Source organism: Homo sapiens, chromosome 4 (assembly GCF_000001405.40).
Source record: "Homo sapiens chromosome 4, GRCh38.p14 Primary Assembly".
NCBI classification, from domain to species: domain Eukaryota; kingdom Metazoa; phylum Chordata; class Mammalia; order Primates; family Hominidae; genus Homo; species Homo sapiens.
The window spans coordinates 118590123-118615032 of record NC_000004.12 but is presented as its reverse complement, the minus strand read 5'-3'; the positions used below and the strand labels follow the sequence as shown (position 1 = coordinate 118615032).

General features: G+C 45.6%; 2 pseudogenes across 1 annotated transcript in view, besides 2 other annotated features; both read right to left on the bottom strand.

The window, feature by feature from the left end:
• The window catches only part of LOC729218 (uncharacterized), a 43282-nt pseudogene extending 19993 nt beyond the window's left edge, over positions 1-23289 (bottom strand). Inside the window, exons 1-5 of the transcript NR_109983.1 lie at positions 23138-23289; positions 19011-19121; positions 17808-17939; positions 9214-9449; positions 6311-6375 (exon numbers count right to left, since the gene is read on the bottom strand). The product of NR_109983.1 is annotated as an uncharacterized LOC729218, transcript variant 1 (transcript). The remainder of the gene's footprint in view (positions 1-6310; positions 6376-9213; positions 9450-17807; positions 17940-19010; positions 19122-23137) is intronic.
• On the bottom strand, positions 8480-8583 carry RNU6-1054P (RNA, U6 small nuclear 1054, pseudogene; annotated as a pseudogene).
• Positions 21754-22661: an enhancer, noted in NCBI's record as "H3K27ac-H3K4me1 hESC enhancer chr4:119513527-119514434 (GRCh37/hg19 assembly coordinates)". NCBI's record gives its function as "activates a minimal SCP1, AML or CMV promoter by ChIP-STARR-seq in primed H9 embryonic stem cells {active_cell/tissue: H9 hESC(primed)}" and the evidence as "EXISTENCE:reporter gene assay evidence [ECO:0000049][PMID:30033119]".
• Positions 23169-23448: an enhancer, noted in NCBI's record as "active region_21847". NCBI's record gives its function as "activates an Ori minimal core promoter by ATAC-STARR-seq in GM12878 lymphoblastoid cells {active_cell/tissue: GM12878}" and the evidence as "EXISTENCE:reporter gene assay evidence [ECO:0000049][PMID:35858748]".

Below are 24910 nucleotides of genomic sequence, written 5' to 3'. Positions count from 1 at the left end.
GTCAGGAGCTCCAGAGGAGCCTGGCCAACATGGTGAAACCCCATCTCTACTAAAAATACAAAAATCAGCTGGGTATGGTGGCGGGCGCCTGTAATCTCAGCTACTCGGGAGGCTAAGGCAGGAGAATTGCTTGAACCCAGAAGGTGAAGGTTGCAGTGAGCCAAAATCGCACCATTGCACTCCAGCCTGGGTGACAAGAGAAAGACTCTTATCTTAAAAAAAAAAAGAAAAAAAAGAAATGGCATCTTCTTCAAGAATTACATCGTGTTTCATGATAAAGAAGCTCTAATTTTGCATTTGTTCAAGTATTGATGAGATTTAGCCAATATGACACCCATCTTGGATAAAATGCAAACAACACAATTTCATTTTCTCATTAACAAAACCGATTAAGTAGTCTAATATCAATTCTGATCTTATTAAAAACTCATCAGATTAAAAAAATTATGGAATTATGGAGCCAATAAGATGTTACAACCTGTTCCAAGGGGAATTCCAAAATCCATACATATCTGAGACCATCAAGTATGATGAAATATATTTGACTACTATATCGAAAAATAAACTGATTACATAGCCAACAATTGGACAGGGGTCTCCTCATCCACAGCCACACAAACCCGATCATGCAGCTATGTGGTTACAAGGCCTACATAGCCTAGAAGGGACTGGTCTGACTTGAGATTTCATTTGTATTTGTATTTTGAGACAGGGTCCCACTCTGTCACCCAGGATGGAGTGCAGTGGTATAATCATAGCTCACTGCAACCTTGACCAACTGGGTTCAACAGATGCTCCTGACTCAGCTGCCCCCATACCTGGGAATACAGGCAAGTACCACCATGTCAGGCATTTTTTTCATTTTTGTAGAGAGAGAAGTCTTGCTATGTTGCCCAAGCTGGCCTCAAACTCCTAGAATCAAGAGATCTGCCCATCTCAGCCACATGAGTAACTGGGGCCATAGGTACATACCGTCATGCCTGGCTATATTTATTTTATTAAATTTATTTTTTTTATTTTTGTAGAGAGGAGGTCTTGCTGTTTTGCCCAGGCTGCTCTCAAACTCATGGCCTTAAAACATACTCCCATCTCTGCCTCTCAAACTGTTGGAACTATAGGTGTGAGCCACTGCACCTGGCCTAACTTGAGATTTCTTTTATCTAGCATCCTTTACTTGGTAGGATTGGGAAAGGCAGTAGTGTTTTTTAAAATTACTTAATAATTCAATCAGAATCAAACTCAACCTTGACCACTGCCTTCTCTCACAGCTCACATCCAGTCTGTCAGGAAATCCTACTGACTGACTTCAACATGTATCCAGGCTCTGACCATCTCTCACCACCACCGTGAACCCGGTCAGGATCACTATCATCTCCCAGCGGGATGTTGCCACAGCTTGGCCCCCATGCTTCCACCCAAATCTTCCCATAGTCTTTCTCAACTTGGCAGCCAGGTCGTGCTTTTAAATCAGGAGACAGATCACATCGCCTCTCTGCTCAGAAGCCCTCGGTGGTTCCCATTTTAGTCAGAGTAAAAGCCAAAGCCCCAGCAATAGCGTCCCAGGGCTTACACGATCTGTACCGATCCCAGCCCAGCAACTCCCTGGCCTCCTTGCTGACTTCGCTCCCTCTATCTCTTTGCTCCACTGGCCTCCTTTCAGAGCCTCAGACACACCAGAGAGTTTCCTCCTAATGCCTTTATCCTGTTGACTCAGCCTACAATGCTCTTCCCTCAGCACCTTGGCCAGCTCCATCACCTGCTTCAAACTTTTGCTCAATATTCACTTATGAGGCCAACCCTGACCACTCTACTTAACACTGCCATCTGTCCCCATTCCCACCATGCTCATTTCTTTCTTTTTGAAACAAGGTCTTGCTTTATTGCCCAGGCTGGAGTACACTGGTGCAATCACAGCTCACAGCAACTTCAACCTCCCAGGCTTAAACAATCCTCCCGCCTCAGCCACCCTAGGAACTGAGACTACAGCTGCATGCCACAACACATGGCTTTTTTTTTTTTTTTTTTTTTTTTTTGAGACGGAGTCTCGGTCGCCCAGGCTAAAGTGTAAGGGTGCGATCTTGGCTCACTGCAATGTCTGCCTTTTGGGTTCAAGTGATTCTCTGCCTCCTGAGTAGCTGGGATTACAGGCACCCACCACCACACCTGGCTAATGTTTGTATTTTTAGTAGAGATGGGGTTTCACCATCTTGGCTAGGCTGGTCTTGAACTTCTGACCTCATGATCCACCCTCCTCGGCCTCCCAAAGTGCTGGGATTACAGGCGTGAGCCACTGCGTCTGGCCTTTTAAAAAAATTTTTTTTAGACATGAGGTCTTATTATGTTGCCCAGGCTGGTCTTAAGCTCCTGGGCTTAAGCGATCCTCCCACCTCAGCCTCCTAAAATTCTGGGATTACAGGCGTGAGCAACTGTAACATGAGGTCCCAGCTTCATGTTCATTTTTTGTTGTTGCTACAACAAAGTACCCTACATTTAGTGGCATCAAACACCACAAATCTACCATCTTACAGTTCTGGGGGCCAGAAGCCCAACTAGGTCTATTAAGGCTAAAGTCAAGGTGTCAGAGGAGCTGCATTCCTTCTGGGGGAGGCTCTAGACAGAATGTGCTCCTTTGCCTTTCCCAGCTTCTAGAAGCCACCCCTATTCCTTGACTTACCTCGTGACTCGATATTCAAGGCCAGAAGTGCAGCATCTTCAAATCTCCCTCTCTGACCTCTTCTTCCATTACCACATCACTTTCTCTAATTCTGACTCTCCTACCTCCTTCTCTTATAAAGATCCTTGTGATTGGTGGGTATGGGGGCTCCCATCTGTAATCCCAACAAGTTGGGAGGCCAAAGAGGAAGGATTGCTTGAGGCCAAGAGTTAGAGATCAGCCTGGGGAAAATAGGAAGACCCTGCCTTTACAAAATTAAAATTAAAATCAGCTGGACATGGTGATGCACGCCTGTAGTTCCAGCTACTGGGGAGGCTAAGGTGGGAGGATTGCTTTAGCCTAGGAGGTCAAGGCTGCAGTGAGCTATGATCACATCACTGCACTCCAGCCTCAGTGGCAGAGTGAGACTCTGTCTCCAATATAAGAAAAGAAATATACATTTGGTCTCTGCCCCTGGTTCCTGGCATAGAGCTTCCAAAGCTCTTATAAAGCCCTTCGTGACAGAGGTAATAGGAGCATTTTCTGTTTTGATATTTAGTCTTAGTCCCAGGTTCCTGACACAAGGGCCTCTAAGGTCTTTCAGATCTGCAGCATGGTAAGAATGCATGTGGGATGCTGTTGAGCTAACAGGGTGGCTGCAAGCTCCTAGACTGCTTCAGGAGGAGGGCTAGCTGCCAGAGAAAGCAACCACATTTTTTTTTTTAAACGGAGTTTGGCTCTTGTAGCCCAGGCTGGAGTGCAATGGCACAATCTCAGCTCACTACAACCTCCACCTCCCGGGTTCAAGCAATTCTCCTGCCTCGGCCTCCCGAGTAGCTGGAATTATAGGGATGTCTCACAACGCCTAACTAATTGTTGTTATTTTTAGTAGAAATGGGGTTTCACCATGTTGGTCAGGCTGGTCTCAAACTCCTGACCTCAAGTGGTCCATGTGCCTCAGCCTTCCAAACTGCTAGGATTACAGGAGTGAGCCACTGCACCTGGCCCCAACCACATTTTTTGAGGCTTGGAACTTTCAGCCTCACCTGCTGAACTCCAGGAGGCAAAAGGAACTGGAGATTGACTTAACTACCAATGGCCAATGATTTTATCAATCATGCCTCCATAAAAACCCAAACAGCAGGGTTTGGAGAGCTTCTGTGTTGCTAAACACAAGGAGGTCCTGGGAGGGTAGTGTGCCCAACAGAGGGCATGGAAGCTCTGTGCCCCTCCCCACTTACCTTGTCCTGTGCATCTCTTTCATTGGCTGTTCCTGAGATGGAGCCATTACATTGAGCCAGTAATAGAAAATAAGGTGGCCAGATGCGCTGGCTCATGCCCGTAATCCCAGCACTTTGGGAGGCAGAGGTGGGCGGAATCACTTGAGCCTAGGAATTTGAGACCAGCCTGGGCAACATAAGAGGACCCCATCTATACAAAAAATAAAATAAATTAGCCAAATGTGGTGGTGGGAACCCTGTAATTCCAGCTACTTGAGAGGCTGCAGCAGGAGAATCACTTGAGCCCTGGAGGTTGAGGCTTCAATGAGCAATGATTGCACCACTGCACACCAGCCTGGACAACAGAGCGAGGCCCTGTCTCTTAAAAAGGAAAGAAAAAAACCTGTTTTTCTAAGTTCTGTGAGTTGTTCTAGTAAATAATTAAACTCAAGAAGAGGGTCATGGGAAACCCTGATTTCTAACTGGTTGGTCAAAATACAGGTGACAACCTAGGACTTGCAACTGGCATCTGAAGTGAGAGTGGTCTTGTGGGACTGAGCCCCTAACCTGTGGGTTCTGCGCTAACTCTAGGTAGTGTCAGAATGGAATTGTGGGATACGCGGTTGGTATCCAGAGAGTTGGAGAACTGGTGTAGAAACTCTGCACACACATTTGGTCAGAAGTCTGTGAGTAGAGAGAAACGTGTTGCGGGAAGTCAGGGACCCCAAACGGAGGGACCGGCTGAAGCCACGGCAGAAGAACATAAATTGTGAAGATTTCATGGACATTTATTAGTTCCCCAAATTAATACTTCTATAATTTCTTGGGCCTATCTTTACTGTAATCTCTGAACATAAATTGTGAAGATTTCATGGACACTTATCACTTCCCTAATCAATACCCTTGTGATTTCCTATGCCTGTCTTTACTTTAATCTCTTAATCCGGTCATCTTCGTAAGCTGAGGATGAATGTCCCTGCAGGACCCTGTGATAATTGCGTTAACTGCACAAGTTGTTTAAACAGTATGAAACCTGGGCACCTTGAAAAAAAAACAGGATGACAGCAATTTCAGGGAACAAGGGAGATAACCTTAAACTCTGGCTGCCTGTGGGCCGGGTGGAACAGAGCCATATTTCTCTTCTTTCAAAAGCAAATAGGAGAAATATTGCTGAATTCTTTTTCTCAGCAAAGAACATCCCTGAGAAAGAGAATGCATCCCTAAGGGGAGGCCTCTGAAATGGCCGCTTTGGGGACGGCTGTCTTTTACAGTCGTAGATAAGGGATGAAATAAGCCCTGGGCTCGCGTGGCGCTCCCAGGCTTATCAGGACAAGGAAATTCCCGCCTAATAAATTTTGGTCAGGTGGGTTGTCTGCTCTCAAACCCTTTCTCCTGATAAGATGTTATCAATGACAATGCGTGCCCGAAACTTCATTAGCAATTTTAATTTCGCCCCGGTCCTGTGGTCCTGTGATCTTGCCCTGCCTCCATTTGCCTTGTGATATTTTATTACCTTGTGAAGCACGTGATCTCTGTGACCCACACCCTATTCGTACACTCCCTCCCCTTTTGAAAATCACTAATAAAAACTTGTTGGTTTTGCGGCTTGGGGGGCATCACGGAACCTGCCGACATGTGATGTCTCCCCTGGACACCCAGCTTTAAAATTTCTCTCTTTTGTACTCTTTTCCTTTATTTCTCAGACCGGCCAACAGTCAGGGAAAACAGAAAAGAACCTACATGAAATATCGGGGTGAATTTCCCCCGATATCACACGGGCTCTTCTCTCACCTGTCTACCTGCTTAACTGCATAGGAGAGGCAATGCATGGTGCTCATGAACAAGGCAAGCATTGAAGTCAGACCAGACTAACATTTGACTCAGTCTTAATATTCAGGTGAGCTTGGGCAAATCGCTCATTAACCCCAAGTCTTCATCATTTTGTGCATATAATGGGGATAACTGTGGCACCCACCTGTTTTTGTGAGAATCAATGAAATATTATGCTTGATGTTATTGTGATCATGATACTATCTGACAAGGGCAGTGATGCATGATAACATCAAAAAATTAGAAACTGTAATGAGGTCTCTTGGGCAAAATTCCATACAAGCAAATTACTGTCTCTACAAAGCATTTCTGCCACACTTAATTCACCATTCCCTGAACAAAATGTGCCATCTTCATTGTTCAGGTCTGTATAGTGCTGGTTTCCCTGCCTGGGCAGCTCACTCCATCCCATCCCAGCCCAATCCCCATCCCTCCACCTCCCCCTTCCCTCCCCACTCTCATACAACTCTTCCTTATCTTACAGGACTTGGCTTCAATGTCACCTTAACTGGAAGCTTCTCTCCCTCTCCAGAAGAGCTTCCCATTGCACTTGATGCATGCACTATTATTTGATCATTTTTGAGTTACAGTCCAAGTCTTTTTGTACCTGAATAACATGTTGCCCAGTCAGTTTCTCTTCCTGGATTCAGAAGTCTTTCATGGTAGGTCCAGCTAGAAGTGACAAAAAGACATTTAAAAAAAAAAAAAAAAAAAAAGAGGGATGACAGAGACAGACATCAGCACTTAAAAGTTTTAAACGATATGTGAAAAACAAAATTTAAGGGCTTCTAGGAGAAATGTAGGAGGGAAGGTGTTACTGGGAAATATGATAGAAGGTTAATTTTTATTTTATTTTATTTTTAGAGAAAGGGTCTTGCTCTATCGCCCAGGCTGGACTGCAGTGGTGCAATCACAGTTAACTGCAGCCTCAACCTCCAGGGCTTGAGCAATATTCCCATCTAATTTCTATTTTGTTTAAGAAATGCAGTCTTGCTCTTAGCAAAGCTAAAGTGCAATGGTGCGATCATAGCTTACTACAGCCTCAACCTTCTAGACTCAAGTGATCCTCCAGTCTTAGCCTCCCCAGTAGCTGGGACTACAGGTGTGCACTGCAACGTGTAGCTCATTTTTTTATTTTTATTTTTAGTAGAGACAAAGTGTCACTATGTTGACCAGGTTGGTGGTGATCTCCTACACTCAGGCAGTTCTCTCACCTCAGCCTTCCAAAATGCTGGGATTACAGGTGTGAGCTGCCACACCTGGCTGAGGGAGTTAATTTTTAATTATATAAAGAGCTCAAAGCAAATATTAGAAGGAGCCTAAATGCCTCCAGCAGTTGACTGGTACTGGTAAATTGTGATACATCCATATAATAAAATATTATGCAACCATGAAAAGGATTAAGCTAGATCAACAGGTATTGGCACAAATGTCCACGAAATATGAAAATATGAAGTGATGTTCAATCACCATGTACGTATCTTGAAGGATATGGCCCATTTTCTCAATTGCAATTATTTCCTGAGATAAGATTATGGGTCTCAAGAGTGAAGGACATTTTTCACTTATTTAAAAGTATTTATTATTTTTATAATTTAATAAAAGATTAAACAGATCATTGAATTAGTAAAAGACAAAGTAACTCTACAAATAAATGGAAAAGACACAGATACCCCAGGCATGGTGGCTCATGCTTATAATACCAGTACTTTGGGAGAGGGTGGTGGGGGGATTGCTTGAGGCCAGGAGTTCCAGACCAGCCTAAGAAACAAAGCAAGACCTTGTCTCTAGTAAAAATAAAAAAATAAAAATAATTGGCCAGGCATAGTGGCATGTGCCTATAGTCCCAACTACTGAGGTGGAAGGATCACCTGAGCCTAGGAGGTCAAGGCTGCAGTGAGTTGAGACTGTGCCACTACACTGAAGCCTAGGAGACAGAGCGAGACTTCATCTCAAAAAAAAAAAAAAAAAGGACAATAAAGAAATAAAGCTAATAAGCTAACATAAGGAAAGATAAAATATGTGACAAATAGGCTGGGCGCATGGCTCACAGCTGTAATCAAGCACTTTGGGAGGCCGAGGCGGGTAGATCACGAGGTCAGGAGTTCGAGACCAGCCTGATCAACATGGTGAAACCACGTTTCTACTAAAAATACAAAAATTAGCCGGGCATGGTGGCATGTGCCTGTAATCCCAGCTACTCAGAAGGCTGAGGCAGGAGAGTCGCTTGAACCTGGGAGGCACAGGTTGCAGTGAGCCGAGATCACACCACTGCACTCCAGCCTGGTCGACAGAGTGAGACTGCGTCTCAAAAAAGAAAAAAGAATGGGTGACAAAGTAATAATATGAGGTCTTTCATTTATCACACAGAAAATAACTTGTTAAATTTTAATACCTGTGTGGGCAAAGGTGCAGTGAAATGGCCATTTTCTTGTAGTATTAGTGGTGTTTAAAATGTATATAAGCCTTCTAGCATAAAGCTTGGAAATTTTTTTTAAATCATACAGACAGTGACTCATTATACTGCCTCCTCCAACTCCTGGCCTCAAGCAATCCTCCCACCTCAGCCTCCCAAAGTGCTGGAATTACAGGCTGACAGCCACCATGCCTGAAAGCTTTGCAATTTACATCAAGGGTAATAAGAATGCTCATGCCCTGTGACTCACAGTAATCTCACTTCTGGAAATTTCATCTTTGGATATAATTCAACCTAAACAAAAGGTTATATGCACAAACACAGTGAAAATCTGGGAGTAAATTTTTTCTCTTTTTTTAAAAAAATATGGAATGCTTCACAAATTTGCATGTCATTCTTTCACAGAGGCCGTGCCAATCTCTCTGTTGTTCCAACTTAAGTATGTGTGCTACTGAGGCAAGCATGAGTAATTTAAGATAGAGTGGTTAAGTGAAATAAGGAAGAATTATGGAGAATTTAAAAATCTATGCTATTTATAGGCACCTAGTAACAGCTCAGTAAATATTAGCTACTACTATTATTATTTTTATGGTAATTTCACTCAATTAAAAACTGTCATTAAAAATTACCATTGTCATGGAACATAATGTCTCCTACTGCATAATTGTAAAAACAGATACAATTTGTCCCTTGGTATATGGGGGGATTAGTTCCAGCTCTCCCATTTCTGTGTATACCAAAATGCACGCATACTCAAGTTTTTGAAGTCAGTCCTGTGGAATCCACATGTAACACAAATGGGAAAATTAGTGAGGTGTGGTGACAAGCACCTGTAGTCCCAGCTACTTGTGAGGCTGAGGCAGGAGGATTGCTTGAGCCCAGGAGGTTGAGACTGCAGTGAGCCATAATTGCACCACTGCACTCCAGTCTGGGCAATAGAGTGAGACAGAAGGTTGACTTTTTAATAGAATTTTTCTGTTCACTTGAAGATACGGTCAGGATTGTGGCATATGAAAATTCTTCATAAAATAACTATCTAATCCAATTAATGCTGGAATTGGGAACAGCAGAAGTGTCATCTCAGAGCTACTCACAATGAAAGGTGATGTCTGGGGCTCAGGTGTGTTGAGGTCCCCATGCCTGGCCTATGGGTACTGAGTGGGATTTACTTGTCCATCCATTTTCTATATTCCAGCACTGGGAAACTAGGGTTTATCCATCTTGATAAGATGTCATTTAAATTCCACTTCGCAAGAACCACAAATGGAAGAAAGGCCATGAAACCACAGGACAGTACTTGTTCTCAAGGGAATCTTCAGCTTAGGTGGGTCTGTAAGAGAGAAATTACATTGCTGAAAAATCGTCGCAGGTCAGGTGAGGTGGCTCATACCTATAATCCCAGCCCACTGGGAGACTAAGGCAGGAGGATTCCGTGAGGCCAGGAGTTCAAGACCAGCCTGAGCAACACAGTGAAACCTCATCTCTACAAAAAATTAGAAAATGGACTGGGTGCGGTAAAACATTCGTATAGTCCCAGCTACTCTGGAGGCTGAAATAGGAGGATCCCTTGAGCCCAGGAAGTGGAAGCTGCAGTGAGCTCTGATCTCACCACTGCACTCCAGCCTGGGTGACAGAGTGAGACCCTGTCTCAAGACACACACACACACACACACACACACTCTCTCTCTCTCTCTCTCTCTCTCTCTCTCTCAGTCTGTCCAGCCTTGACTAATCAAAAGGGCCTTGTGGTTACAGAAGAGGTATGCTCTTTTGTAGGACAGGGAAAGACCAGCAAGCTTGTTCACAGACTTTTCCTCATCCTCTGCTTAGTTTTCCAAGAACCCTCACAGTGGAAATGGAGTCTCTGGGAAAATGACCTAAATCTTTGGGTTACCAGGGGAGAAATATGCCTCCTTTGTCAATTAATAAATGGAACATCTGCCTTAAAATCCAGGGAGTTCTGCTAGAATGAATCACTCCCTAAGACCCTGACCTATGCATGGAACATGAAAAACTGAAGTTTAACTGGGCACGGTGGATCACGCCTGTAATCCCAGCACTTTGGGAGGCTGAGGCGGGCGGATCACCTGAGGTCAAAAGTTCTAGATCAGCCTGGCCAACATGGTGAAACCCCGTCTCTACTAAAAATACAAAAATTAGTTGGGCATGGTGGTGGACACCTGTAATCCCAGCTACTCGGGAGGCTGAGGCAGGAAAATCGCTTGAACCCGGAAGGCGGAGGTTGCAGTTACTTCTAGAAGAATTTCCATTAGCCCTTTGAAATCCTTCAACATTCATGAAGGCCAAAGAGTTTTCACCTAATTTAATCTGATGGGTATGTCACCAGAGTCTTTCTAGGGAATAGAGACTCCCAAACAGTTCAGCTGGGAAGTGAGGAGAGAATTTATTACTCAAAATCAAAGGGAAATGAAAAGAGGCCAACATAGAATGTCATTATTCTTTCTTGGCGGGGAATGGATTCCAGAGTCATTCTGTGACCTTTACATGACCTCCTTATTAGCATCTAAAAGCTTCCAGTGTAGGATGCAGCCAGCTAGGTTCTCTTCTAATGTAATAAAATTTGCTTCAGCAAATCTTATGCAGAGCCATCTCCAGGCTCCAGAAACAATAGGTTATAAATTACTGGATCTCCCATTTGATACAATGAAGTATAAGCACGGTCCTGAATGACTCCTCTACCTACTACTCTGGGTGGCTTGAAGTGAATTTGATACAAGAACTGGAGCGAGCGCAAAGCAGAGCTAGAACTAGGATTAATGTGCTTGGGCCCAGCTCCTCACTACTCACCTATGAGTCTAGTTCCAGAACCCAAGTAGAGGGTGGGGAAACAAGGCTCCTGACTTCTTTTCCCTAATATCTGCATCTCTTTCACATTTCTTATCTCCTTGCAAAGAAACTAAACAGGCTCAACTGAAATAACTAAATGATTAAACCCTATACAGAGAATCTCCAAAGACTGACAAAATATCATTCAAGACTGTTACACAGACAACCTTGAGGATGACTTGATGTACCAGTGATCTACAATATTTGGGATCATTCCAAATTCCCATCAAGGATCTGCCTATATCAACAAAGGAGCCAAGGACCAACCATTCAAATGGGCCCTGCTGCCAAGCCTTTTTTTTTTTTTTTTTTACAATGCCATCTCTTCATATTGTTCCATTTAACAAAACTGCAGCCCTTCACCTATCCTTAAGTCCCTTGGCCAATGGTACAGAGCCAGAGTATGCTACTCCCTAGCAGGAAATCAACAGGATGACCTACTAAACACCATTCAGAAGATGCTAAGACCCATGAATTGCAACAGGAAAGAAAAGACAGAGAATTAGTCAGACAGGTACATGCTGTGCCAAAGATGCACTACAGCCCCCACCCAATTCTGCCTAATCCTAGCTGGGCTGACACCAACCTGATGAGACAGGCCTATAAGATCTCAAACTAAAACAGAAACTCCTGAACTGGGTTCTTTCGAACCCAGGAAGCAGCAGTAAATCATTAAAGAACAGATAAGTTCTTAAGGTGAGGGAGAGTTTCAGATAAATGGAATGCTGGTAGAACACAGGGCCCAAAGGAGCAAAAGTTAACCTAAGCCCAGGTAGAACCTTGTTTACTAGAGTATTAGGCATGGGTTGGGGCAACTATTCTAACCAGAGAAACTGGCTTCAGTGAGGGCAAGTTGGCAATCCAAGGTATAGCATGCATAGGGCTGGCAAAATTCAGGGTGACTGAAGCAAAAGCTTCAGAACCAGAAAGACCACATCTGGGGGTAGAGCACAAAACTCTCAAGAGATGAATCTTTGTAAGAGTGAGGCAGAACTATATAGCAGTTTTAGGAGATCTGTTGGTGCCCAGCAAGAGCTCCAAACGGTTATATGCAGGGATGCAGGCTGTAGTCTCAGGAGAGGAGGTTCACAAAAGTCATTCAGTCCAAGACCTCAAACTGTGTTCTCTACTAAAAGGAATCAAGGTTCCCTAGAGAAATGGCTGACTCCATGTATGGTGCAGTATATTGATCCTGGAACATCTTTTTTGCCAGAAAGCAAGGAAGCCATCAAAGTCCAACAGGATCACGTCAAAAAGACATGAAAGTCAACTTGAAGAGATAATTATTAACCTAGATGAGACAATGTAAGCATCCAAAACAATAAAGACTGCAATGGCCTGAAATACATCAAATGCAAACAATAATCTATGAGTTCATAATGGTATTCAGAAAAAAAACTACTGGTCATTAGAGGGAAGGTTACTAGGTCACTAACTTACTACTCTGAAAAGTGACTTAAGATGAGAGGTAGGGCGGAGAATTAGCTATTTATTCAGTCTTTCCTGTACAAACATAAATTTTTAGGGAGATTGAAGCAGATGAAACAAATCTGGAAAAATGGAGGTAACTGCTTAATCTGCGGGTTGGGTGCCTGGAGGTTCAACATATTTCTTTTGTGTATATTTGAAACCCCTACAAAAAAAGCACAAGACAGAATGTGAGCCAAGCAGCTTAGGGTTTAGGCAAGGCTTCTGCCTACAAGAGACACTAGGATATGAGGGGTAGTTTTAGCCCTGATGGGCTGAGCCAACTGGAGGTATATAGGGAGGTGCTAAATTGCAGAGGTATCATGTTGCCCAGCACTTGATCAAATCCTAGATCCTAGGTCTGCTTGGTAGCATGCTTCCTAGGTAGTGGATCTGAGGCTACCTATAGAACTTCCTTTGCAGTCATAATTTGCTCAGAAACTACAAAAGTGCTTGCTCTTGAAAACGGAGTCTTTGTCCATTTCATGCTTCTATAAAAGAATAACACAGACTGCATAATTTATAAAAAGGAAAAAAGGAAGGAAAGAAAAAAGGAAGGAAGGAGGAAAGGAGGGAAAAAGGGAAGGAGGGAAGGAAAGGAAGGAAGGAAAAGAAGGAAAGGAAGGAAGGGAAAGAGAGAAAGAGGGAAGGAGGAAGGGAGGGAAGGAGGGAGGGAGGGAGAGAGAGAGGGAGGGAGGGGAAGGGAAGAAAAGGGAGGAGAAGGGAAAGAAGGAAGAAAAGGAAAGGAAAGGAATAAATTTTATTTCTTAACAGTTCTGGATGTTAGGAAGTCCAAGGTTGAGGGGCCTGCATCCGGTAAGGGTCTTCTTGCTGCATCATCCCACTACAGAAGGCAGAAGGAAAAGAGAGTGCAAGAAAGCAAGAGGGCAAAAGGGGCTGAACTCTGTTTTATAATAAGCCCACTCTGTGATTACTAATCTATTACCACAATAACAACATTAACTCATTCATGAAGGCTATTTTATTAGGCCCCACATCCCAACTGTTGCATTGAGGATTGAGTTTCCAGCACATAAACTTTGGGGGACACATTTAAACCACAGCAGAGCACTTAGGTTAATTCAACTAAGAGGAGCTGGGAAAATAAAAGGCATGAGAAAGACAGCAAAAGCTAGCAGAGAGAAATGCATAGGTTAAGGAAAAAAGTCACAGTGAATCCTGTAGTGCAGGCTACTTTATCAAAAGCACCTAAAAAAGATCTCATTAACTCCCCCAGCTCACCTCCACTCACATCTAAAGAGCCACACACAGCACCACCAAAGGCAGCACAATGAGGACAGCATTCTCCTCAACAGACAAGCTGGGAGTATCTAGACACCTGACCTCAATAGCTCCAGAACAGCCCTAAAACAGTTCCTCCCTAACCACCACTCAAGTCACCAGCTTGGAAAGTATTCAGAAAACCCAAATCCTGACACACCACTAGGAAACAACTTAAAACAGCAAAGAACAACCCATTTAAACAGCAATGCCAGCTGCTGGGAAAAAAAGGAACAATAAGTAGAGGAGAAACAGACCTCTTGGGGTCCACCAAGACCCAGTCTCTCAGCTTCAGCACTTTCAAATGCAGAATCCATACCCCTCTGGGGCCTGTGGAGCTCCACAAGGCATGTCGTCCTCAAAGATAAATGAGCAGGAAAGCTGGCTAGAAAGACACTAAGGGTATTATTCTTTAAAGAATCTTTATAGGTTCAAAGAGGAATGGGTCTTAACTGGCTATGTGAACTCCCCACAGATTCTGAGGATGATGTCAGCAGCCCTTTCCAGATGTGTTTAACACTTTGCAGTCACTTGTATTCCTGCCACTGAGTGCCAGTGCTTTGCTAATTTGAACTGATTCCAGCTCACGCTGACCCCAGCTCCCTGGATGTTACCATTAGCCAAGACTGTCACCCATACTGTACCCTTTCAAAGAGTCCTAAAAACAGCTCTTCACCTACTCTTCCAAGACAAGTAAAAATGTCTGCCAAAGAAATGGGGAAAAAAGATTCAGAGAGTGAAAACAATTAATATACTAACAAGAGAGCAAAAAGCAAAGGGGGAGGAGAAACTAGGAAAATCATAGATGGGCTCACACCTATTTCCAAAGCTGGGCTAATGTCCTTTTGCTTGTGTCTGAATAAGGCACCAATTTTAAGCTGCTAATGAAAAAAAAAGAAAAAGAGAAAGAAGCAGGGCCAGGCTGGGCGCAGTGGCTCATGCCTGTAATCCCAGCACTTTGGGAGGCCGAGGCGGGTGGATCACTTGAGGTCAGGAGTTCGAGACCAGCCCGGCCAACATGGTGAAATGCCATCTATACAAAAAATACAAAAACTAGCCGGGCATGGTGGCACATGCCTGTAATCTCAGCTACTCAGGAGGCTGAGACAGGAGAATTGTTTGAACCCAGGGGGGCGGAGGTTGCAGTGAACTGAGATTCCACCACTGCACTCCAGCCTGGGTGACAGAGCGACACTCCATCTCGAAAACAAAACAAAACAAAAAAACCCCACCTGAAGGTTTCCAGTTCTGCCAGCAGTCTCCCACCCAACCCCCAGAAGCAGACATTCCATTGCTGTGGGCCATGGACAGGCAGAAGGAAGCACCTCCTCATGGCAGAGGCCTACCCAGGAGAAACCCAAGGGAAGGCACTGCTGGGCTGGCCCCTCTCTGCCAAGGCCATATTCTTTTTTTTTTTTGAGGCCAGTTTCACTCTGTCTCCCAGACTGGAGTGCAGGTGCACAATCTCGGCTCACTTCGACCTCTGCCTCCCCAGTTCAAGTGATTCTCCTGCCTCAGTCTCCTGAGTAGCTGGGATTACAGAAGTGTAGCATGCCTAGCTAATTTTTGTATTTCTAGTAGAGATGGGGTTTTGCCATGTTGCCCAGGCTGGACTCGAACTCCTTGCCTCCAGTAGTCCACCTGTCTCAGCCCCGCAAAGTGCTGGGATTACAGGAGTGAGCCACTGCACCCAGCATTTGCCAAGACCTTTGATGGCAGGCTTTTTCCAGGTGATCAGTCCTTGTCTGGTCTGGCTCTGCCCCACTCTCCTTCTCACCTAGTTGGAATCCCTAGCTACTTTTCAGTAGAGGAGAGTGTGTACCCCAATCCCAGCTTGGTTCAGATCTGCATTTAACTCATGGAACCTGGCTGCTCCCCATGTCCTGAAGAAAAAAAGGGTCTCTCTGTGGGTATGATAAAGGATGGGCCTGTCCCCAGGACCGTGTGAGAAGGAAGCCCAATGTCCCACCAGGTTGGCAGGGCTGGGGAAGGGAAAGTGTTATGGCAGCCCCAAGAAAAAAAAGAGGCAGCAGAGGGAGGAGGACAGCGCTCACATGGAACTCATGCCACGGCCTGAGTGAGGGGAGGGAGGAGTGCACGCCAGTGACGTCAGGGGGCAGAGAGGCGCAGTTCCAGGGCGGCTTTCCCCCTCACTTCCTGCCATGTTACTCTGATCGCCTCCAGGTGAGCCTGCCCATTTTGTGCCCAGGGGCCTGTAGAAAACCACAGCTCCCCATGGTTATGGCCCCAGGAGTGGGGCAGAGCAGGGAGGAGTCCTGGACAGAGGAGAGGCAGGGGCAGGAGGGAGTGGGCCTCAAACTCGAGGAGGGGGCCCTTCTCATGGGTCCTGCTTTCTGGCTTCTCCTTCCTTACCCCTGGGCTGATCACTCGGGGAAGAACTGAGACAAAGTTTCTCACCCTCAGGCCCAAAGGGTTTAATTACTGGGCCCTTAGGGAGGTGTGAGCCCCCTGAAAGGATGCAAGGTTTTGTTTTGTTTTGTTTTTTGAGACAGAGTTTCGCTCCTGTCGCCCAGGCTGGAGTGCAGTGGCGTGATCTCACCACACTACAACCTGCGCCTCCCAGGTTCAAGTGATTCTCCTGCCTCAGCCTCCGGAGTAGCTGGGATTACAGGTGGCTGCCACCACGCCTGGCTAATTTTTTGTATTTTTAGTAGAGACAGGGTTTCGCCATGTTGGGCAGGCTGGTCTTGAACTCCTGACCTCAGGTGATCCCACTGGCTCTGCCTCCCAAAGTTCTGGGATTACATGAGCCACTGTGCTTGGCCACGATGAAAGGTTTTGTGTGGAGAGCATGTACATGCCTTTCTGGGAAAACAGTCCACAACAGGCTTCACGGTCAAAAAAGGTTAGAACTCTTGCTACAGAGCTGTGGAAGCAGCTAGGTGAGGGGCCTGCCAAGGGCACTCTGGGCACTACCTGGGCACTCTCGAGCCCATCATCCCCTAGACAGGCTGCACTGCTTGGTATTTGCAGAGCTGAGGGGGTGGGGCATGTGGGGACTGTGAAATCGCCCTGAGATGACCCACAGTCCTCAGCTGGGAAGTGAGCGGTGCATCTCCTGCGGCATCCTCCATCCCTAGAGCCATGGGGCCAGGAGAACTGGCCCTTGCAGCAAGTGAAAAGCCTATTATTGACTCCCTCCCTAGCCATGTAGACAGTGAACCAAGACATTCATATCAGGTAAATGCCTTGGTCTCTGTCACCGAGGTGACCAGTAGGCATTCCCAGATACAGTGAAGGTCCTCACACCAAGATATGCACCTGGCCACCTGAGGAAAGAGAAAGGACTATCTGAGGGGATGGGGCTGAGCTGGGTGTGGAGTGGTCCTTGTGGGTCTTGGAGAGTGGGAGGGGGAGCAGCATGAGCCAGGCCTCGAGGTAGAAGGACAACCAGGAGACAGCCTGGAAAAAGTGCTGGACCCACAAGGGCTCAAGGCTGGCCAGAGGGGAGGTGGGATAGGCTGCAAAGTCCTGAGGTCTGAAGATTGGCCCTGGCAGGAAGAAACCAGGTAAGGTGAAGTGTTACCTACACCCTCGGGGCCAGATGCAGGCCAGAGCCACGCAATTACCAGGCCCTTAGGGAGGTGTGAGCCCCTTGAAATGATGCAAGGTTTTTTGTTTTTGTTTTGGAGACAGAGTTTCGCTCTTGTCGCACAGGCTGGCACCTTTGCCCAGAGCAGGCACCAAGACTTCTGGCTCTGGGTGTGACCTCAGTCTGGGTAAAAGCCCCAGCCCCCACCAGGACCACCTACCCCCTAGACTACTTCAGGTGCTGAGCCCAAGCCAGGGGCAGGAAGCTAAACTGATGCCTAGGGTAATCCCAACAAAGTCCCTGGTTCCCCGCAGCTATGGGGCTGACGGGGAATTACAGCCCAAACCCCAGATGCTGGCTCTCAAGCTAACACTGAGCCCTTAGTGCCCACAGGGAGATACAATCAGCGCACTTTCCAGATGGGGAAATGGGATCAGAGAAGTGCAACAGCCTTGCCCAATGCCCCAGACCAGGGCTCCAGGCCCAGAGTGTTCTTTTGTCACAGTGTTCAGAGGGCAGCAGCTGCTGTGATGTACCCACCTGAGCCTGGCAGCTTTCTCCAACTTTGGAAGCCCAGGAGCATGGCCCCTGTCCACAGATGCACCTGGCATGAGGTGTGCCCAGAGGGACAGAGGCAGATGAGTTTCGTCTCCTCCACTGGATTGTGAGGGCCTAGAAGGAGACAAGGGTCTGCTTGAGAAGGCAGTGAATAGCGAGCAACCTGAGGCAGTGCCCCTCTGGATGGATCCGCAGTGCCTGGATGGAACCTGGCTCAGACAGAGCTCAGTTCTGCAGGTCCCTGAGGCATGGAGAGTTCACAGCTACCAAGTGTAGGAGTCTGGATTCAAAGCCAACGGCGTGACTCCAAAGTCCCTGCCCTAGCCCCTGGACCACCCTTGCAGGCCCATCAGATGCCCAGGCCAGCAGCACAGCCGGCCAAGACCAGGGAAACTTGGGGAGCCTCAGAGCACCCCCAGGTATTCCAACCTAATCCTGGTACCCCGCCTCTCACCACCCTTCTTCCTGCTTTAACCTCAATCCCTACACAAAGCCTGGGCCACTTAATGTGGCATCAAACAGATGCCTCAATAAATCAGAGTCTAATCTTGAAAAAAAAAAAAAAGACTTAACAGATATACAATTGCACGTTAGAATGCTAAAGACCATAAACATATAACAACTTAAAGTACATATAAATTCAATATATATCCAATCATTGTAACTATGACACAGTAGAATATTAAAATACTATTTTCAAAATGTATACAAGCTTAATGTTCTATGTATTCAAACTATTTATTCAAAATACAAATCATCAACATAAATTGCCACTAATATTCAGTCCCTTCACAGGACACATGATTCACTGGGAGTTAATAAATTAGCAGCCGGCAGGCAGTGACACACAGCAAAAATGAAAACCAAGAGGTGAAATAGTTCTGAAATAAAGGTTTTAAAGCTAACAGAAATCACTGAATTACTAAGTCATTAGCACTAATTTTGAGCCAACTAACTAATTAATATGAGATGATACAATGTCCTATACTTTGGTAAATACAGACTATGTTTAAACAATGTCTGTAACGTGACTTGTAAAATGCTCCTGGCTTTACAAAGATGTGATTAAGATGTAGTAATACATGCTAAACCACTTCCCCCTGCAGAGCATGTGGTAACTTTCATCAGTCACATTGAGAGTCCAGAAGATAAAGGAAAAGGTCATGGATTTTGCTGAGACCTTACCAGAGTTGAACTCCCTCATTTTCCATTCCCCAGCATTGGCGGGTTCTGGGACTGGTGGCTGTGGTGGCTCGTTGGTCTTTGTCTCTTAGAAGGTGGGGAATAATCATCATCCTGAAAAAGAAAAAATGGTCATTACTGAAGGAACCATCTTAGGTTACAGCCACCTCTGGGTCAATTCCCAACATTCACAAGCTGAGCAGGGCTTTAAAGCTATCTTATTAATAATTATTTCTGTATTGCGAACTTCAGCATACTTTTTTCTAGTTACATTTGAAATGTTATTCTTTTGGGATGTGCTCAAGTGAATACTGCTTTTTCCTCTGCCTTGCTTCATTACTTTTTAGTTTCCTTCATTTGAATCATCATTGTAAGTCTCCCCTTCTCCTCAAATAACTTTCAAATTGCTGCCAAGAACTATGTTCTATCTTAAGGCTTTTGAGAAAAAACTTTCAATGAAGATAGCCGCCTAAAGTTATACAAATATATAAGAAACGGGATAAAATAAAGCTTAGATTGGAAAAAATATTTAAGATTATACAAAATTCACGCGTAAACAAGGGAAGCTGAGTAATTGTACGTTCAAATACTTTTAACAAGTGCAAAACATGTAGGCTTAAAGAAACAGAGCTGGCCAGGCATGGTGGTTCATGCCTGTAATTCCAACAGTTTGGGAGGCCGAGGCAGGCAGATAACTTGAGGTCAGGAATTCGAGACCAGCCTGGCCAACAGAGTGAAACCCTCTCTCTACTAAAAATACAAAAATTAGGCCAGGAGTGATGGCTCATGCCTGTGATCCCAGCACTTTGAGAGGCCGAGGCGGGTAGATCACCTGAGGTCAGGAGTTTGAGACCAGCCTAACCAACATAGAGAAACCCCGTCTCTACTAAAACTACAACATTAGCCGGGTGTGGTGGCACATGCCAATAATCCCAGCTACTCGGGAGGCTGAGGCAGGAGAATCCCTTGAACCCGAAAGGCAAAGATTGTGGTGAGCCGAGATTGTGCCATTGCACTCCAGCCTGGGCAACAACAGCGAAACTCCGTCTCAAAAAAAAAAAGAAAAGAAAAAATTAGCCAGGCGTGGTGGCGCATGCCTGTAATCCCAGCTACTTGGGAGGCTGAGGCAGGAGAATCGCTTGAACCCAGGAGGCTGAAGTTGCGGTGAGCCGAGACTGCACCATTGCACTCCAGCCTGGGTAGCAGAGCAAGACCCTGTCTCAAAAAAAAAAAAGAGAGAGAGAGAGAAGGAAAGAAAGAGGGCTATGTTATTTATGAAACATGGTGAAACGCTGTCTCTACCAAAAATACAAAAAATTAGCTGGGCATGGTGGCGCGCACCTGTAATCCCAGCTACTCGGGAGCCTGAGGCAGGAGAATCACTTGAACCCGGGAGGTGGAGGTTGCAGTGAGCCAAGATCATGCCACTGCACTCCAGCATGGGGGACGGAGCAAGGCTCTGTCAAAAAAAACAGAAAAAGAAAAAGAAAAAAGAATTAGAGACATCTGGATCAAATCAGCTGCCAGTCTCGCAAAGTGTCTGGTAACATCCTATTAAGATTGCTGCTTACACATCATCTATAAAATACTGAAAATATCATTTTAAGAAATCTTTTTTTTATTTTGAGACAGAGTTTTGCTCGTTGCCCAGGCTGGAGTGCAATGGTGCGATCTCAGCTCACTGCAACCTCCGCCCCGTGGGTTCAAGCAATTCTCCTTCCTCAGCCTCCTGAGTAGCTGGGATTACAGGCATGCACCACCACGCCTGGCTAATTTTGTATTTTCAGTTGAGGCAGGGTTTCTCCATATTGGTCAGGCTGGTCTCGAACTCCTGACCTCAGGTGATCCACTGACCTTGGCCTCCCAAAGTGCTGGGATTACAGGTGTGAGCCACCATGCCTAGCCAAGAAACCCTTATTTTAAAACAAGCCAGGCACCGTGGCTCATGCCTATAATCCCAGCACTTTGGGAAGCCAAGGCGGGTGGATCACTTGACGTCAGTAGTTTGAGACCAGCCTGGGCAACATGTTGTAACCCCATCTCTACTAAAAATATATTTAAAAAATTAGCTGGGCGTGGTGGTGGGCACCTGTAATCCCAGCTTCTCAGGAGGCTGAGGCAGGAGAATCACTTGAACCTGGGAGGTGGAGGTTGCAGTGAGCGGAGATCATGCCACTGCACTCTAGCCTGGGTGACAATAGAAAGACTCCATCTCAAAAACAAAACAAAACAAAACAAAAAAACCACTAAAAAAAGACTCCATTTCAAAAACAAAACTAAAACCAAAAACACAACACAAATGTAGTATACAAATGAAAATAATTACTGTGTTAAACACAGTTTCATAGAAAATAAAAGACCAATCAAATACAATAAGCTGCCTTTTTAGATGGGTATGTTATTCTTCTTTCACAGCTAAAGAAACGGGCTCAGAGAATGTTATTTGATTGGACCGTGTTGCATCTCTGGACAGTGCAGCTGAGATCAGACTTTGTGTGTAACTCCACTAGCCTACCAGGGTGCCTCTCATAAAGGTAAGAAATGTAAATTTGGCCTAATATACAAAGTTGCCAAGGCAGCACTGGGTCAATTCTACATACAGTACTTCTATGTTCATCAAGGGAAACCTTAAGGGAAAGTGAAAATGCTTCTAGAAGGCGACTGGACACCAGCGCCTTTGCTTGTTGCCTTTGGGCTCTTCTTCTAAGGCCAACAGTGACCTGAGATTATTGACTGGCTTTTCCAATCAAGTGGACAAAATGGTACCAAGGTCGCCAACATCAGACAAATTCACTTGAGGGCCTTATCTATGTGCTTTGAAAGACAAAACTGCTTTTGTAAAGGACACTGTATTTCAGAAAAACATAATCATATTAACAAATAATAACACTGTAAAATGCTGATGTGTTGAATGCTACTTTAGAAAAACATGCTCAAATCCAGGGAAAAAATTTGATACAAAACTACGTATCAATTATCTAGCTAGCTAGCTAGCTAGCTATCTAGAGACATGCTTTCACTCTATTGCTCAGGATGGGAAGCAGTGGGATTATCATAGCTCACTGCAGCCTTGAGCTCCTGGCCTCAAGTGATCCTCCTGCCTCAGCCTCCTAACTAGCTAGGGCCACAGGTGGACACAGTTATGCCTGGGTTTTTGTTTGTTTGTTTTGTAGACACAGGGTGTCACTACATTGCCCAGGCTGGTGTCAAACTTTGGAGTCTCGCTGTGTCGCCCAGGCTGGGGTGCAGTGGTGCGATCTCGGCCCAATGCAACCTCTGCCTCCCGGGTTCAAGTAATTCTCCTTTATCAGCCTCCCAAGTAGCTGGGACTACAGGCATGCGCCACCACGGCCGGCTAATTTTTGTATTTTTTGTAGAGACTGGGTTTCACCATGGCCAGGCTGGTCTCCAACTCCTGACCTCAGGTGATCCACCTGCCTCGGCCTCGCAAAGTGTTGGGATTACAGGTGTCAGCCACTGAGCCTGGCGGAGCACTTTCTTATGTTATTAAGTAGCCTAACCCAGGTGGGGCGCTGTCCCTCACGCCTGTAATTCCGACAACTCTGATGGCCAAGGTGAGAAGATCACTTCAACTCAGGAGTTCGAAACTGGCCTGGGCAACATAGCGAGGCCCCCCCCCCCACCCCATCTCTAGAAAAAAATACAAAAATTAGGCCAGGTGCACACCGCTCCCAGCTAATTTTTGTATCTTTTGTAGAGACGGGGTTTCGTCATGTTGCCCAGGCTGGTCTCGAACTCCTGAGCCCAAGCCATCCATCCTCCCGCCTCGGCCTCCCAAAGTGCTGGGATTACAGTAGGGCCTAGCCAGCCTCATGTTTTATTTAGCAGTCCCTCCCTGTTGCACACTTAAGATAGTTTTTAAATTTTTTTAGACAGGGTTTACCTCAATCTCGCAGGCTGGAATGCTGTGGTGGGATCATAGCTCACTGGAGCCTTGAACCTTTGGGTTCAAGTAGCTGGGGGGCTGAGGTAGGACTACAGAGATGGGGTTGCGCCATGTTGCTAGGCTGCTCTTGGCCTGAAGGGTCCTCCCGCCTCGAACGCGCCAGACATAGTTTTCTATTTTTGACCAACATAAACACTGTGCTGGGTCTGAATTTTTCACCTACCCTTCTTCAGCCGGCAACACACAGGACCTGGCGGGGAGGTCGCTCTTACCAGTCCCCACTCTGACGAGAAGACTGCCCAGCTCCAGGAACCGTAGCGCCCCAGTGACGTAGCCGAACACCCGCGCCTCTGACGCCGCCAAAGGCCCACCTCTATGGTGTCGGCGAAGGCGCGCCCTTGTGACGTCACGGAGGGCGCACCCTTGTGACGTCACGGAAGCCTCACGTCACGGAAGGCACCACTGCACTCCAGCCTGGCAACAGAGGGAGACTTTGTCTCAAAAAAAAAAAAAAAAAAAAAAAAAAAAGAGAGAGACAAATCTTACCAGCAGCCTGTGAACCAGGAAGTGAAAGTCCAGCCCAAGCTCAGGAAAGTGGAGTCAGCATTGCTCCACCTAGCAAGGCCCCTTCCTCTTCTCCAGAGACTCCAGAATATGGACATTTGCTTCACCTCCTCAAAACCTTTCTTCTTACTTGGTTGGGAGTCATTTGACCATAGCAACTGTATCAGTCAAGGTCAACCAGAAGCAGAAGCATTAGGAGATTTTATAGAAGATAGAAATAGAGATATAGATACAGGTGTTAGAGATATAGAAATGATAGACGAGAGAAACAGAGATGAGAGATAGAAAAAGAAATATAGAGATGAGATGAAGATAGAGATAGAGATGGTAGGGACAGAGATAATAGAGATAGAAATAGATATATACAGGGTTTTGTTAGAGGTATGTAATTTGTCAGCATCGAAATGGAGTCACTTATGTTAAGATAACCTTGACAAATAGAGCCAGGGAAAGACATGAAGAGGATTCTCATGCTTACATGCCTGCTAACAGAAACGACCACCAAAAGCAATAAAAACTACAACTTAGCACAAAGGCTGTCACAACCTTACATAAAAAATACTCCTGCAAGGACATCTGCCCAGCGACTGCCTATACACTCTCGGACTGGCATCACCCTTGCTATTGTTCTCTGTAGCCCAGGATAATTATTTCAAAAACAATTATGTAATCCTCCTTATTTTTTCCTTTAAAAATCTTTGTCTTCCTTTAACCGCCCTGAATACCAACATAGTTTACTGCTGCATGCATATTTCCACTGCAGTGCTTTATTCCCAAATAAGTATCTTTTAGAGAGCTTCTCTCTGTTATTTAGGTTGACAGAGGTATTTAACCTTAAGCAATTGTGGGAGCTGGTTAAGTCATCTCTGAAAAGCTGTTTTTGTGTCTGAGGGAAGTTGACGTCTATAGGGTGGGCAGTTGAGAAGTGTGTTAGGCTGTTCTTGCATTGCTGTAAAGAAATACCTGAGACTGGGTAATTTATAAAGAAAAGACGTTTAAATGGTTCACGCTTCTGTAGGCTGTACAGGAAACATAGCTGCAGTATCGGCTTCTGGGGAGGCCTCGGGAAGCTTACAGTCATGGCAGACGAAGCAGGAGCTTGCATGTTGCATGGTGAAAGTAGGAGCAAGAGGATGGGGGGAGGTGCCACACACTTTTAACTAGATTTTGCAAGAACTCACTACTGTGAGAACAGCACCAAGGGGATGGTGCTAAACCATTCATGAGAATTCTACCCCCATGATTCAGTCACCTCCCACCGGGCCCTACCTCTAACACTGGGGATTACAATGCAACATCAGATTTGGGTGGGACAAGTATACAAACTATTAATATATCAGAAAGGAAAGATGGATATTAAAAGAGAGCAGGCCAGGCACAGTGGCTCACGCCTAATCCCAGCACTTTGGGAGGCTGAGGCAGGTGTATCATG